This window comes from Homo sapiens, chromosome 9 (assembly GCF_000001405.40).
Source record: "Homo sapiens chromosome 9, GRCh38.p14 Primary Assembly".
Lineage (NCBI taxonomy): Eukaryota > Metazoa > Chordata > Mammalia > Primates > Hominidae > Homo > Homo sapiens.
In genome coordinates, this window is record NC_000009.12 from 40,944,941 (window position 1) to 40,962,433 (window position 17,493).

A 17,493-nucleotide genomic window follows, 5' to 3' on the forward strand; every position below is an offset into this window, starting at 1 on the left:
TTTAATTTCTTATTAGAATGCTGCCACCAAATAAATAAAATACGTACTTTAACTATATGCAATATTGTCTATATTATACTGTTGTTAACAGAAACATTATCGGGGCCAACTTCATGAAAGGAGATATGTGATAGAAGATGGAGTTGTTGGAATGAAAAAAAAGTCAAATTTTACTTTGGATCAATCAGAGGGAAGAAAGCAGACAGATAGGAAAAGAAAGGCAGGCTTAGCCAAGTTGAAGAAAGAGGCTGAACTCAGGAGGTAGTGGGAGAATAGGGTCATAGTTTGAAGAGAGCTGTGAGGCTGTTAATCTAGGTGAGGATCATAATCCCAGAAGACCCAGTGACAAACACCATAACCCTGAATGTTGAAATCCTGAAAGATCAAAATTCCTAAGGTCTAAATTCTTTTTTTTTTAATAGAGACAGAGTGAATTGGTTAATTCTCATGCTCCCAATAAAGACATACACGAGCCTGGGTAATTTATAAAAGAAAGAGGTTTAATTGACTCACAGTTCAGCATGGCTGGGAAGGCTTCAGAAAACTTAGAATCATGGTGAATGCAAACAAGAATCAAGGCACCTTCTTCACAAGGCAGCAGGAGGTGCTGAGCGAAAGGGGAAAAGCCCCTTATAAAACCTTCAGGTATCACTCACTGTCATGAGACCAGCATGGGGTAACCACCCCCATGATTCAATTACCTCCAACTGGGTTACTCCCACAACATGTAGGGATTGTGGAAACTACAATTCAAGGTGAGATTTGGGTGGGGACACAGCCAAACCATATCATTCTGCCCCCAGCCCCTTCCAAATCTCATGTCCTTACATTTTAAAACATGATCATGCCTTTCTAACAGTCCCCCAAAGTCTTAGCTCATTCCAGCATTAACCCAAATGTCCAAGTCCAAAGTCTTATCTTAGACAAGGCAAGGCCCTTCTTCCTATGAGCCTGTAAAATCAAAATCAAGTTAGTTACTTCATAGATTCAATGAAGATATAGGCATTGGGTAAATACACCTGTTCCAAATGGGAGAAATTGGCCAAAATGAAGGGATTGCAGGCCCCATGCAAGTCCAAAATTCAATGGGTCAGTCAAATCTTGAAGCTCTGTAATGATTTCCTTTGACTTCGTGTCTCACATCCAGGTCACACTGAAGCAAGAGGTGGGCTCTCATGGCCTTGGGCAGCTCCACCCCTGTTGATTTGCAGGGTACAGCCCTCCTCCTGGCTGCTTTCACAGGCTGGTGCTGAGTGTCTGTGGCTTTTCCAGACAATACGGTGCAAGCTGTCAGTGTGTCCACCATTCTGGAGTCTGGAGGATGGTGGCCCTCTTCTCTCAGCTCCATTAGGCAGTGCCCCAGTGGGGACTGTGTGGGGGCTCTGACCCCGCATTTCCCTTCTGCAGTCACTGCCCTAGCAGAGGTTCCCCATGAGGGCTCCGTCCCTGTCACAAATTTGTGCCTGAACACCCACGCGTTTCCATGCATCCTCTGAAATTTAGGCGTAGATTCCCAAACCTCAATTCTTGACTTCTGTGCACCCGCAGGCCCGACGCCTCATGTAAGCTGCCAAGGCTTGGGGCCTTTACCCTCTGAAGCCATGGCCTGAGCTGTACATTGGCCCTTTAGCCATGATTGGGACACAGGGAACCAAGTCCTGAGACTGCACAGAGCAGCAAGTCCCTGCACTGGGCCCATGAAACCATTTTTTCCTCCTAGGCCTCCTGGCCTGTGATGGTTTGAGTTGCCTTGAAGGTCTCTGACATGCCCTGAAGACATTTTCCCATTGTCTTGGTGATTAATATTCAGCTCCTCTTTACTTATGCAAATTTCTGCAGCTGGCTTGAATTTCTCTCCAGAAAATGGGTTTTCCTTTTCTATCTCATCATCAAGCTGCAAAATTTTTAAAACTTTTATGCTTTGCTTCCTCTTGAACACTTTGCTACTTAGGAATTTCTTCTGCCAGATACCCTAAACTATGTCTCTCAAGTTTAAAGTTCCACAGATTTCTAGGGCAGGGGCAAAATGCCATCAGTCTCTTTGCATAGCAAGAGTCACCTTTACTCCAGTTCCCAACGAGTTCTTCATCTCCATATGAGACCACCTCAGCCTGGACTTCATTGTCCATGTCACTATCAGCATTTTCCTCAAAACCATTCTGCAAGTCTCTAGGAAGTTCCAAACTTCCTCACATTTTTCTGTCTTCTTCCGAACCCTGCAAACTGTTCAACCTCTGCCTGTTACCCAGTTCCAAATTCACTTCCACATTTTTAGATATCCTTATAGCAACGCCCCACTACCTCAGTACCAATTTACTGTATCAGTCCATTCTCATGCTGCTAATAAAGACATAACCAAGCTTGGGTAATTTATAAAGGAAAGAGGTTTAATTGACTCACAGTTCATCATAGCTGGGGAGGCCTCAGGAAACTTTCAAGCATGGTAGAATGTGAAGGGGAAGCAAGTCACCTTCTTCACGAGGTGGCAGGAAGGAGAAGCGCAAGCAAAGGGGGAAAAGCTCCTTATAAAACCATCAGATCTTGTGAGAACTCACTCACTATCATGAGAAGAGCATGGGGGTAACTGCCTCCATGATTCAATTACCTCTCCCTGGGTCCCCATCATGATATGTGAGGATTATGAGAACTACAATTCAAGATGAGATTTGGTTGGAGACACAGCCAAACCATATCATGGGGTCTCACTTTATTGCCCCGGCTGATTTCAAACTCCTGGGCTCAAGTGATCCTCCTGATTTGGCCTCCCAAAGTGCTGGGAATACAGGCATGAGCCACCATGCCCAGTCCTAAAGTCTAAATTCTTAACATCTAAAATCCAGAAAATCACAATCACAGGAGAGTTGTACCACGTTAGTTGCATCATGTTAGGTACAACTGTTGCTTTGTTTTCTTTTTATTTGGAAATTATGTATGGTTTAAGGAGGTCCATATGGGTGCCACATCTACAAGGGGTGGACTTGCAGACTTAATTTCAGGTGTCAACTTGACTGGATTAAGGAATCCCTGGAAAGCTGGGAAAGCATTATTTTGGGTATGACTGTGATGGTTTTCTCAGAAGAGATCAGTGTGTGGGTCTGAGCAGACTAGGTGGGGAAGATCTGCTGTCACTGTTTTGAATGTCTTGAATATCACAGAAGAAGTTAAAATGAAAGTTAAAAATGAACAAAATCTTGTCTGCCAAATTATGTAATCATGTACCAAGCACCTCTACACGTAGCACCATGCTTGCCTTCACAAAATGCCTTTTGTCAGATAATAAAAATAGTTCAACAAATTCAGTGGCCTTCTGAGCCAGACACCTTCTGGCACAGAGCTTCCTCCAGTGCTACAAGATATATTAAATCATGAACTATTCTTGATTAGGGATTTGACTGTCAAAAAAGATAAACATATTTGTTTAACATAACAAAACTGGTGCATGTTTCACTTTGGCTGATGAACGGCACTTTCAAAACTGTCCCCAGTGGGTTTTTTAAATCGACTTTATGCAGTTTATGCCCCCATTGGATTACAAAATTCTGTAATTTAAACTGCACGTTTATGGTTTAATAACTGGAAAAAGTGAAGTACTTTATAAAAGCTTATTTGAAGATTTGGATGGCTTTGCAGAAGAAAATAGATTTCAATTGGATCCCCAAATTATAATGACAAGTTTTTAATTAGGTGTGATCAAAGCTTCTAAAAGTGAATTGCAAGTTGTTACCAGTAAAATTTATATCTTCCATTCAGCCCAGCTCATTTGCCAGAAAATTCAGGTGAGTGGATTGGCCAGGCCATATGGCAATGATGAAAATTTTAGTTTAAAAATGTGTCATTTGTCTGTATTGGCATTCCTTCCACCTGATAAAATTCCAGGAGCTTTTGATAAATTAAAACCACAATTGCCTGAAGAAGCCAGAAATATTACATACTGGTTTGAAAATAATGATGTGCAAGGTAGGATAAGAGTCATTTAGGCAATGGTGTTGCTGTTCAATCAAGAGTATTGTTTCTGCCAAATGAGTGGCCTGTATATGAGGGCCTGCAAAATGGATTTCCACATACTCAAAACAATAGACAAGAAAGGCATAGAAGATTGGAAAATGTAACAGGAAATGCTCATGTCAGTGTGTATCAAATTACAGAAGAATTTCAAAAAGAGCAGTGCCACGTAGAAAATGAATGTGAATGTATTTTATGAGGAGAGTCAAATCCTAAAAACAAAAAAGGCAACAATTCATCGTGATGCAAGACTTCAAAATATAGTTAATGATCATGAAAGTCAGCGAGCTATGATGAACTCTGCAATTGCTCATAATCTATCCATGTAATATACTTTTTATATGTCAATTTTCTTTTTAGTGTTTCTTTTTCCATTTTTTCCACTATTTTAAATTGTCAGCATTATTTTTTACAACTTGCTATGCTATGTATTTCATCTTAGTATCATTTCCAATACTGGAGGTATAAATTTTGCAAAGACTTTTAGAGAGTTCTAATTTGTTTTATGCATTTTTTTTTTTTTTTTGCAAATTTGACTCCACAACAGTGTATTATCACAACACTGACTTTGTGTGTAAGCATTGTACATGTACATAAAAACATTAAAATTTCCTCAATAAATGAGAAGATATCCTTTTGCACATTTGCATTTGGGAAAGAGAAAATTCCTTAGGATCTCAGCTCTTTGACTGAATATTACATGGTGACCCATCCCAGCTTTTGATGAATCTGGTCAAAAGACTTAGGTTGTCTGTCACAGTATTCCAGATGACCTAAGTTATAAAGCTGAGTTCACCCAGTTACCAACCACGCTTTTATACATTTTGCTTTTTGACCCATTTCTTTACAAATACAACTCATCTGCTCATTACCATTATACCCGTGAGACTATCGTTAGCATACCTGAGTTTTACGCTTGCAAATATATGCATGTTATTATTGCCTATTGATTGTGTAAAGTGGCCTAGGAAGGGTTCTGTTGTGTTTTTATAAGTTTCTCAAATAAATTCCATCTTAAAAATATAAATAAATGTTTTTTGTTTTTGTTGTTAGACAGAGTCTCACTCTGTCGCCCAGGCTGGAGTGCAGTGGTGCGATTGCGGCTCACTGTAACCTCCACCTCCTGGGTCCAAGCGATTCTCCTGCCTCAGCCTCCCGAGTAGCTGGGACTACTGGCACCCGTCATGATGCCTGGCTAATTTTTTGTATTTTTAGTAAAGATGGGGTTTCACCGTGTTAGCCAGGATGGTCTCCATCTCCTGACTTTGTGATCCACCCGCCTCGGCCTCCAAAGGTGCTGGGATTAAAGGCATGAGCCACCATGTGCTGCCCAATAAATGCTTCTTAAAGAATGTGTTAATAATTTTTTTCCAGAATTGTATTTTGAGAATTTTGTTTTTTTAGGATTGTAATTTTCAGGATTTTAGACTGTACAGATTTAGATCTTATGGGACTTCAACATTTGGGATTATGACGTTCAGGATTGTGTCTTCCTGGGCTGTGGCCCAAACCCGTGTGGTCCAACACTATTTCACACAAGAGGAAAGCAAACCACGTGCATAGATGCAATGAAGGCTTAAATGGGCGTCACGTATAGATTATATCCCAGGAAAACATGATTAAGATGATACATGGCGACTTTTTTTCCCAGTGAAAAAGATCCACATTCTTTTTCTTGTGTGGAATTAAACACAATTTCTGAATCAATGTAAGTGTATGCAAATCACCATATTCACTTAGCTGATGCTCCTTTATTAACAGGAATAGAAGGGAGGTCATTCGAAGAGATGATGGCGCGGGACCCAGGACCTGAGGAAGCTGCAGTGGGTGAAGGGGAGAAACAGAGGAGCAGGGGCTGGAGAAAGAGTGGGAAATCATCAACTACCCTCCTTACTCCTGGTGTCTGGTGTTCGGAACCCAGAGGTCTTCTCTAGGGCCTCGGAGAAGCTTCCAAGTCTGTTCATTTCTCTTTCCCCACGCCTGCTTGTATCACAAATAAAGAAATTATTGACAACTGAGTTCCTGACTAGTTGGCACGATTTTAGGGACCCTTCACCTCATCCGAGCCTCATGAAGGTAGTGGGAGTCCCATGGGTTAGTTAGCAATAGTCCTTGAGATTATTTGGTCATATAAATAATCAAAAAACTCATAGTCATCTTGCTTTTCTCATAATGCCCAGCTGGGGGATGGTGGGGGCAGGGAGGACTGGAGTGAGAAGAGATAGAACCAGAGCTGGCTTTCATGTATGGGACTCTCCAGAGCAATCAGGCCTAAGTACAACCAAGAGGGGTCTTGAAGCAGCTCTGGCGAGGGCAGCCTGGGCTTAGGCCCCAGCTCACACCAAGCACGTCACCTGTCGGACTGAGAAGCTTAAGCAATGTGTTTCTGTTTTTGTTTTTGTTTTCTGGTAAAGAATTCAACGTCATTAGCTACATTCACAATGCTGTGCAGTCATCACCACTATCCATTTCCGAAACATTCTATCATCCCAGATAGGAACTCTGTGCCCATTAGACACTAACCTCGCCCATTTCCACCTCCTGCCATTCCTGAAAACCTCTATTCTACTTTGTGTCTCTATTAATTTGCCTGTTCCAGGTTCTTCATATAGATGGAATCAGGTAGTCTTTGTTTGATGTCTCACTTAGCATAATGTTTTTATCTATGTGGTAGCAAGTATCAGAATTCCCTCCCTTTTCAAAGATCACTAATATTCCATTTTACATCTATACCACATTTTGTTTATCCATCTATCCCTCAATAGACTTTTTAGGTTGTTTCCATTTTGTGGTTCCTGTAAATAAGGCTGCTGTAATGCTGCAATGAACACAGGTGTAGCAGGCAGGTGTGGTGGCATGCGCCTGTAGTTCCTGCTACTCAGATCACTTGAGCCCAGGGGTCCTGAGCTGCAGTGTGCAGTGTTGATCAGACATCTGCACGAAATTAGACATTAGTACAGTGACCTCATGGGATAAGGGACTACCAGGTTGCCTAAGGAGGGGCGAACCGGCATGGATTGGAGACAAAGCAGGGCACAACTCCCAGTTTGACCAGCAGGGGGTCATGCCTGTGGACAGCCCCGCAGCAGGGAGATCCTGCCTGTGGACAGCCCCGCAGCAGGGAAATCGTGCCTGTGGACAGCCCCTCAGCAGGGGGTCATGCCTGTGGACAGCCCCGCAGCAGGGGGTCGTGCCTGTGGACAGCCCCGCAGCAGTGGGTCGTGCCTGTGGACAGCCCTGCAGCAGGGGTCCGTGCCTGTGGACAGCTCCGCAGCAGGGGGATCATGCCTATAAACAGCCTCGCAGCAGGGGTTCATGCCGGTGGACAGCCCCGCAGCAGGGGGTCGTGCCTATAAACAGCCCCTGCACTCCGGCCTGGGAAACACAGTGAGAGCCCATTTATTAAAAAAAAAAGGGGGGGTGGGGAGAGAACACAGGTGTACAAGTATCTGAGTAACTGCTTTCCATTCTTTTGAAGATAGAGATAGGTAGATAAAGATACAGATATAGAGATTTATAGATGTGAGTGGGATTACTGAATCATATGGTAATTCTATGTCTAAATTTTTGAGGAATGGTATGTTTTCCACAGCTGATGTACTATTTTTCATACCCACCCTCAATGCACAAGAGTTACAATTTTTCCACATCCTTGTCAGCACTTGTTATTTTCTGGGTGTTTTTGTTTTGATTTGTTTTGAGGCCGAGTCTCCTTCTGTCTCCAGGCTGCAGTGCAGTGGCGTGATCTCGGCTCACTGCAACCTCCGCCTCCCAGGTTCAAGCGATTCTCGTGCCTCAGCCTCTCAATTAGCTGAGATTACACATGTGTGCCCCCATGCCCGACTAATTGTGTGTGTGTGTGTTGTTTTTTGTTTTATTTTATTTTATTTTTTGGTACAGATGAGATTTCACCATGTTGGCCAGGCTGCTGTCAAACTCCTGACCTCAGGTGATCCCAAAGGGCTGGGATTACAGGTGTGAACCAGCGTGCCTGGCCCCTGATTTTTTTGTTTTTTCTTTTTTGATAGCAGCCATCCTAATGGGTGTGCAGTGTGTGTGTGTGTGTGTGTGTGTGTGTGTGTGTGTGTGTGTTTTAATGTCACATTGGTGATTCTAATGTGTAACCAGGAAAGAAAAGCATGGATTCTGGGTCTCAATTTTTCATCTAGGTAAACCGGAGCAAATAAAACCTATTGAAGAGTTCTCCTGATGATTGAATGAGTTCCCCCATAGAAGGCAAAATCTACAAATGTTTGTTCCTCTCTTACTTCCTTGGAATTCTACTAAACTTCCTGCCTCAACATACAGAGACACTCCCTGAAGCCTAAAACTATGCAGATTTGACACAGGGCTGATTTTAACTTCTGTTTTGCTTTTACCATATAGCTAGCTGCAGATGTCACATGTGTCCTCCATGACATCCAAATAGCACTACACCTGCACCAGCTTTCCTCTCAAATTAACTACTCATCAGTTCTATTATTAAACAAACAAGGAGCAGCTGTAACACTGAACGAATGAGTGGGATTGTGCTTTAAAATTACATCTCTGCCAACACTTTTAGTTTGTTTGTTGAATAACTACAAGTTTTCCAGTTAAATTAATAGAATACATTATACCCATAAAATCCTGAAATACTTGGCAATACACACAACAAAATATTTTACAAGTAGAGAATATAATAAATGTATGACACTTTAGAAATTCATTGAGGTAGGTTTAAACAGTGTTTACTTTTAATTGGTGTGCTTTATTTCATCTCACAGTATTAAGCTGTGGTTTAGTTTATCGGCTGAATACTCACTGTGCAGTCCTTTGTAAAATTTTGGAGGTCCGCAGTAATGTGATTATTGAGCTTCAACAGAATACACAGAAGATCCCAGGAACCACAAACTAATCCATCCACTATGCAGTATCTAAAGTGTTTGCAAAAATAAAAACAAACAGCAACAAAAAAAGAAAACTGAACAACTGACTTGTAGCAAAGCTATCAGGTTAGTGCAAAAGTAATTGTGGTTTTGCCATTGAAAGTAATGAAAGTAATTGAAAGAATAGGTATTCTAGTTGGACATGCTACAATGCATGCCACAACCATGGATCAATTATGTATTGAAAACCCAAACCAACTGAGGATCACTGCTGTGCATTATTCCCATCGTGTCATAATGTGGCAAACTAAAACTAAGGACCTGTAACAAGGGATTTCCAGAGGGAAAGCAAACATTGGTTAAAGCAAAGAAAACTGGCAATTTTCAATGTGCTCAAATCAAACTATTCACATACTTTGTATGCTTCTCTACAAAATCCAGAACTTTTGATAGGATCACCCTTAGGAAAAACTCTAAAGTGAGCAGCTTCTGATCAATAGGTCTCAACTTCTTTTCCCTTCTGTATCACAGACCGTGTGGGTGAATCCATCACATGACTTGATAAGATTTGGCCAGTTGGGAAAGGTCTCTTTAAAGAACTAACACTCAGGCTGGGATCCAGAGCAAAGCACCGTAAACTTGAATGTACATATGAACCACCTGGGGACCTTGTCAACATGCAGATTCTGATTCATTGGATCTAGGGTGGTGCCTGAGCTCTAGCAAGCTCCCAGGGATGCCTATGTGACTTCCTTGGACATCAGTTATAGTAGCAAGAATATAAGCAGATACCAGCCAACAAATCAGGAGTGAACGCATCACGGCCCAGGCAGCCCTGGACCAGGCCAGCTCAGGGATCTGAGAAAAGAGTAACTGGACTGAGGTCTATGAGTGCTTCCATGAGAGGTGAGGCTGAGAAGGTGGACAAGATCTAGGTCAATGTGTTAAGTTCCTACTACATGCAAGGCTAGGCTCTGCATAAACAAAAACAAATAAGGCAAACCTAGTCCTTGCATCTTTAGAGCTTGCAGTCTAGCAGAATTATTTCATGGGTAGAAAATCATTAAATATTTTTTAACGAAGGAGAGACATGATGTAATTGAAATTTTTGAAGAACCTCTCTGGGTGTGCCATAGAGAAGGTATTGGAGAGGCAAAAAGTTGGAAAGAGGAGTATATGTTTGCAGACCAGGTGAAAGATGCAGATGACAGAAGCGGATAATTTTAGCACATATTTTGCAGGTGAAATAACAGTAATTGGTTGCAAATTGTGATGGTAGGGGGGGTTGCAGGAAGAAGAAAGCATCAAGGATGATGATGCTTTCTGGAAGAAGCAAATGGGTAAATGGAGATAATTTTTATGAAGAATGGTAAGGCTGAAAAAGAAATAAACTAACAAAAGGGAAATGATTGAGGAAGTGGCATAGATGTGGGGGCAGAACTCGAGTTTTGAATTCTGATTTTAGGCATGCCTGTGAAAATCCCAGTGGAGATTTCAAGATGGCAGGTGCACATAATGTTTTGGAGCTTGGGAGGAGAGGTCTGTAGGAGTCATATGCATATAAATGTATCTAAAGCCATAGTAATTAATAAAACCTTGTCTAGAGTCTGTGTAGGCAGGGGTGTCCAATCTTTTGGCTTCCCTGGCTACATTCGAATAAGAAGAATTGTCTTGGGCCACACATAAAATATACTAATATTAACAATAGCTGATGAGCTAAAAAAAATCATAAAATATCTTATAATGCTTGAAGAATGTTTACAAATTTGTGTTGGGCTGCATTCAAAGCTGTCCTGGGCCACACATGGCCCACAGACCATGGGTTGGACAAGCCTAGTATGGGATAAGAACAGAAGAGGACCCAGGATTTAGGAACTTCAACATTTAAAGTTTGGGCAAAGAGGGAGAAGCTGATAAGAAAATAGTTCAAGCTAGAGGAAGAGGTCAGGGGTCTACTCTACTGAATGTTCCTGAGACCCCATTGGACTTATATATTACATAAAATGTACAATATATGTTACTTGGGTGATGGATATCCTAATAGCTTTGAACTGACCACTATGCATGGAACAAAATTGCACATGTATCCCATAAATTTTATATAAACAAAAGTAAATAAATGGAAGGAAGGGAGAAAGAGAAGGAAGGAAAGAAAGAAAGAAGGAAGAGCGAGGAAAGGAAAGAAGGAAGGGAGAGCAAGGAAAGGAAGGGAAGGGAAAGGAAAGGAAAGGAAAGGAAAGGGAAGGAAAAAATGAAGGGAGAGCGAGGAAAGGAAAGGAAAGGGAAGGAAGGAAGGGAGAAAGAAAGAAAGAGGAAAGAAAGAGAGAGAGAAGAAAGAAAGAAAAAGAAAGAAAGAAAGAAAGAAAGAAAGGGAAAGAAAGAGAGAAAGAGGAATAGTGTTCATGATGTTTAGGAATCACCAATTCTGGGGGTGCTGAATTGTGTCCCCCCAGATTCCTATGTTGAAGAGCTGATCCCCACTGCCTCAGAGGGACTGATTTAGAGAAGGCATTCAAAGAGGTAAGTGAGGTCCAATGAAGCCATATGGGTGGACCCTAAACCAATATGGCAGGTGTCCATGTAAAAAGAGATTGAGACACAGGCAACACAGCCTGAGGACACAGCAGGAAGGGAGGCATCTGCAAGGCAGCAGTTCTCAGAAGAAGGCAAACCTGCTGACATTCCATCCTGGATTTCCAGTCTTCAGAGCTGTGAGAAGATAAACCACTCAATCTGTGGCAGCTTGTGATGGAAGCCCCTAGCACTCTTATACGGTGACCTTAGCACGAGCAGTTTCATAGGCTTGATGAAAGTGAAAGCCAAACTGACCTGAATAAAGAGTGAAAGGAAAATGAGCAAAAGGAGATAGTAAATGTGGAAAATCCTTGAGAAAAATTTGCCAAGAAAGGAGGAGATGGCTTGATAGCTAGAAAGACACACAGAGTCAAAATCAAGGTTCCTCCAAGATAGAAGATTTTTTAAATGAAAAATTTATATTTAAATGCTGACCAAATGCATCAAGAAGGAGAGAGAATGAAGATGCAGATGACAAATGGAAAAGCAATGAACAGAATCCCTGAAAAGTCAGGAAAAGAAGGGAGATTATTAGAGGGATGTCCTTTTACAGTAAGAGGAATGTCCTTTTACAGTAAGAGGAATACTTCCTCCACTGGCCCCAGGATTTAAAAAGCTTATAAATCACAGGTAACATTCTACCTAATTATAGAGCTTTACGCTTTTCAATAAATTTTGTTGTACATAATACAGTCACTCTATGAATTCAGTGAGACAGATAGTTATCCACATTTTACATAAAAAGAAAGAAAAGGCAGAAAAGAAGTGATTTGCTTGAAGTGACACAGAAATAGCTGGTAGAACCATGCACTGTGTAGATGGCAGGGCTACTGACTTCTCATTTCACACCAGAAATGTAGACAGAATTAGATATAATGACAGTTATTATATTTTTAAACCTTTCAAATAAGAATATCCTTGGAATTCATTAACAAAGCACAAAGCATGTGATTAGCATCTGAAAATGTTTTATTATACAATCACTAGACACAAAAAGAGGTTTCCATTTTCCTGTGTATTTGAAAGAGTTCAACAGCCCTAAGTCACACAGTTGGAGGAAACTCAAACAAGGGAAGGTTCGTTTGAATTGATGAAATTAGCAGGATGAAGTTTACAATACAAAGATTTTTGTTTCAAGACTCTGAGGTTTTGTAGGGAGGAAGGGGAAAGGCAGATGACACCAAATAAGACTGGTCGGAGAGGGGATGAGAAGCATCAATTAGAAAGCTCTTCAAATTCAAAAGGACCGTTCAAACCATCCTAGGACTAGGCTCCAATCGGGAAAGACTCTGAAGGAAATGATCTCCTACTCCCACGAGATGGCTAACGTGATTTAGGTAAAAAGCTTTTAATTTTATGGCTGGAGAGGTAGCAATGAAGAAAATGAACCTCCTGCCAGTGATTCTTTTTCAAGCCCTGCCAATTCCTGTGTCTGGGGAAGCTATAAAGAATGCCCAACCTCATGTCAAAAGAATTGCCACAGATCTCCAGCTCACCTGCATTCAAACATTGAAACATCCCTAAGCCTGCTCCTAGGCCAGCCTGGAACTGAGAATCCAGGAGAGTCTTTTCTGTTCTGCTGCTGCAGCTACACTATCTACTTGTTAGCATAACCAGGGCCACCAGCAACAGATGCTAGAGGAATACAGAGAGCAAAAATCAGCAGCTGATGAAAAGCAGAATCTTTTCTTTTTGGCAGCAATACCAATAGCATGAAGCACTTCCCTTTTGGAGCTTTCCAAACCACTTCAAAAGCGAGTTTTCTGGTGTGGATCAAGAAAGCTAGTCAAATTGCCTCTGAGTGCATAGCCAATGGCCAAGATATTGATGACTGTAGGCAGCTCAAGACCCATCCTCGGCCCTGGTGCTGTCTTTCTCAGAGCTCTGTTTAATTCCATCAGGCACAGGCAGCATTTGCAGAAAGCTGTGTTGATTTTTGTGATCTTCAGCCAGCACAGAGGTGGCCAGTTCCCTAGCCTCCCAGCACCGTCCTTCTCCTGCCCTGCCCCTTCATGGCCTGCCTGGGCTCACTGGACCCAGACTTGCCTTTCGCAGCTGTCAAAACCTCACAGTCCTGTGTGTCTGTTTCCCTTTGAACTACACAAACTAACTAATTTGGTGAACCTATTAAGTGAACTTCTTTATACTCATGGTCTAGAGTGCATTGAACACTAAAGCGTTTGCTAGAGATTGTCAAAATCAATTCTGTCTTCTTCCAACTGGACCAAGGCTTCTTTGAGTTAATAAAACTCTGAGAAATCTGAGTTGATTTTTCGTAGTACCTCTTTCTATTCTTTTGGGGTTTTTTTTGTTTGTTTGTTTTTTACTTTTCATGGAGATTTTCCTTAATTTAACCCAAAAGATATACCCATATGACATTTGAATATGAAAGAGGTAGTAGGACAAAGAATTTGAAGACAGTCTTTCAGAGCCCCACAAAGTACTTGAAATTTATCAATAAACCCCTCCTGGTGCTTCCCACCATGTTCCACATTCCATCTCCATTTTAAGCCATGAACCTTCAAGTGGCATCTCCTCCTGTGAAACCTACAGTTTGGAGATAAATTATTGATGACTAATGACTCAGAAGAACCAAAGAAAGGATCCTCTAGTGGAGACACAGCATAGAAATGGTGGTCCAGGGTGAGAAGGAACTGCTTCCAGTCCCAGTGCCGCCTGTGTGGTTCCAGCTGTGTACTTCTCTTCCTCTAATATTGTTTACTCGTCTCTAATACGGGACTAATAACATATACATCAGACTATTGTGAGGGTTGAATGTAACGATATTCCAAATTGTTGCATGTGTCCAGTACTTAACATAGTGCCAAGAACAAAGCATGTATCAATAAGTATGAACAGCCTTCCCAGCGCACACCTCCAAACAGTGGATTTCTGGCCGGTGACAAGCAATGGTTCCCAGTGGTTCTACAGGTTATGGTTTAACTTACCACTAGCCAATCAGTAAGTTTGCCTCAGACCACATCACAATTCTTTAGCAAGCCTGGAGCTTGGTGAAAAACAAGGGGGAAAATAATCAATGTCCCTAAGGCAGATGCTGAAAGATTAACCTCATAACATAATTCTCTCACCAGACTTGTTTCCTGAATGTCTATTTAAATTTTTATTCTGCAAATAAAATAAAATTGGTAATAATGAAGGTGATTAAGATGGCATTTGTCCAGGGAATGAATCTCCTCACAACATACCTAAGAAAGAGATATATGTACAGAAAACAAAGCACAGTAAAATACCTCTTCATTACTATGGGAGATTTTCCCCAAACACAGAGAAAGCTCTACAGAGCTGAGCTTAAGCCAGAACTCTGTTATTTACTTGGTCTAATGCCAAAACAGGCCAGAGACCCCTTTCACCTACTTCTCTTTAATCCCAAACCCATGTCTCTGTTTGATCTAAGAAAGAGCCAAATGCCCAGGAGGCGCCATGGTAGAGAAAAGCAGCCAGCCAGAGAGTGACCTCCGTGCCAGGGGAGTGTGTCTAAGCTTTGCTTTATTTTTCTTATTTGTCTGTAGTTGTATGATTGGTAGAAGAGAGTAGATATGAAGTCTACTGACACAGGATTGGTCTTCAGGAATGTCTTACCAAGCATTTGGGGGAACAGAGGGGTTTCACAAATAAGAGAGCAATGATCAGACTTTTTCTAAAAGGAGCAGCCATAAGCTACCTTAACTCTCCAACTTGCCCATTAATCTTCACCTAGAGTTAGGAAGATTTCACCATTAGCTGTGGCCCATAAACGATCCTTAAGCTTGACCAACCACAGAGGTCCATCTCCTTGAGGAGGAAGTGAAAGGGGTATGGATGTGAACTTTCTGTCCTCCGCAGGACCCCAGCTGTGTCTTCTACTTCTTGTACAAGATAGTCTCCAAATGATGTTTTCTGGCTGACAATGCCACAGAACTGATCCTTATCTCACTATGGAAATGAAAGATTTCAAAGAATTTTGTTGCCTGAAATATGGTGCCATAATCACATATTAATAAAGCTGCTATCCAGAAATAAGGCAGATTTCAAAAGAAAGGCTGTTAGCATTCTCAGGGACCTAAAAAGTACATACTGTAGAACAATGGTAAATAGATCTTGGAATCAGGTAGACTTTAATTCAAACCCCAGCTATGCCACTTATTAACTTATGTGACATTGGGAAAGCCTCTCAAATTTAGATTTGCAAAATCAGAATAATATAATTAGCCAACAAATAGGGTTTAATGGAGGTAATAATGAAGGTTATTAAGATGATAAAATTAAATAGTGAATATAAAGTGCTTAGCATTCAATAAATTTATTGTATGATTTCAAAGCACATGCTTTTACCTACAGTGCTATAAAGCTGCTTGCAATAGTCAAAGCTAATAGAAGCTCTCGTCAGAGCTAATAGAAGCCTTGAGTATGTAATTATTTAAGAATTCTGTAAATATACACAATAGGGTAGGAATGAGAAAATCTTTAGAGGAAATATTCAAGTATGTTTGATTTCTAGCAAATCCAGATAGATAGTTTTGGCAACAACCAAGTCATAATTTGAAGTCTTGTTATAGGAGCTAAAATTTTATTCAAGGGACAACTGACTTGATTAGATAAGATGCTGTGCACTGCATGTTTGCATCAACAAATGCACATGTTGAAACTCTAACAATAGAATGGCATTAGAAGGAGGACCTTTGGGAAGTAATTTGGTTTTGATGAGGATGGAGTTCCCACAATGGGGTTAGCATCCTAATAAGAAGAGTAGGAGACTAGAGCCCTCTTCTCTCAGCCATGTGAACATACAACAAGAACACCTGCAAACCAGTAAGAGGGCCTTCACCAGACACTGGTTCTGCTGGCCCAGATTTTAATCTTTGAATTCCCACAACTGTGAGAAACAGTATGTGCTGTTTAAGCCACTCAGTCTACAGTTGTTTGTAGAAGCAGCCTGAGCAGACAAAGACATAGGGTTCCTTTTATTTTCAGAATTCGGTTTAGCTGTAATCACCTACCATCCTGAGATGCTGTTTCCTCCCTCCTCCCTTGAAATATAAGCTCTGGAACTATAGCTTCATGGACAAATTCTGAAGAATTTGTCTTTGCTCTTGTGGGATGCTAACCTAACCAATCAAGGAATATTTGCTCAATGGAATGAAACGTCTTAATGCAGCTCGCCAGCCAATATCTGCAGAGCACACCTCATGGGTTCTGGCTGGCTTGGATTTCTGAGACTACTTCATCCTACTCATCAGACTGTGGACTCAGATTCAGCCAGGAGGCCCAGATTCTAGCGTCAGTTTTGCCCTTGGGATACAAATGCACGTCCTGCTTCACTGAACATGAAACCCTATTTGGCCATTATTCTGTCAATTGTCCTTTCTCCCTGTGCCAATTGCCAATCAACCCAACTCCCAGGCAGCCTTGGCAGTTATGTTTGCTTGTCCTGCTGTAGCAGCCAATGACTTAGTAAAAGTCAGAACATAGATCTGCTAGCTCCCAGTCCAGGATTTCCCCATAACTCGTCCATGTATATATTAAACAATTAGCCTTGCTTTTAAAATTCTTTTTCATTTAGCCTCTTCTTAGAACTTATCATTTTGAGAATCCTGACCTGCCAATGTTCCATAATCTTTCTGAAAGTGACACAGCAAGTACGATGCATGCACACTGCTAACTGCAGCTGATTTCATTTTCCATCATCTACAAAGCACATAAGGTAATTTCTAAACCAGCAGTAAAATCTATTTATAAAGATGCTGATTTGTTTTCTGCACTTTCCAAAACAGAGCTTCAATTTATTTCCCTAACATAAAAAACCATTACTTTTTAAAACAATCATAGTTAGTATATTTTCTAAATGTTTTAATTTTTGTAAAATCCAACTTGCAAATTGGAGTGTAAATAGCTTTCTTAAAATGAAAGGGACCGTGTTAGACCCAGTATGCTGATTGATGACTTCACTGTGCTTCAAAGCAGACGATTTCACAGTCATTGGGTATATAATGCAATGAGTTTTTATAAAGTAATTGATATCACTAAAAATATAACTATAATAAATAAAATT

At 41.1% G+C, this 17,493-nt stretch overlaps 1 long non-coding RNA gene across 1 annotated transcript in view, besides 1 other annotated feature; it reads right to left on the reverse strand.

Annotated features, from left to right (window-relative positions):
• Positions 1-479: 479 nt before the first annotated feature.
• Positions 480-17,493, reverse strand: part of LOC107986997 (uncharacterized) — a 46,412-nt gene continuing 29,398 nt past the window's right edge. The window contains exon 2 of the long non-coding RNA XR_001746463.3: positions 480-8,918. This is a non-coding gene — a long non-coding RNA (uncharacterized LOC107986997). The remainder of the gene's footprint in view (positions 8,919-17,493) is intronic.
• Positions 16,344-16,845: an enhancer, noted in NCBI's record as "NANOG hESC enhancer chr9:68695497-68695998 (GRCh37/hg19 assembly coordinates)". NCBI's record gives its function as "activates a minimal SCP1, AML or CMV promoter by ChIP-STARR-seq in naive H9 embryonic stem cells {active_cell/tissue: H9 hESC(naive)}" and the evidence as "EXISTENCE:reporter gene assay evidence [ECO:0000049][PMID:30033119]".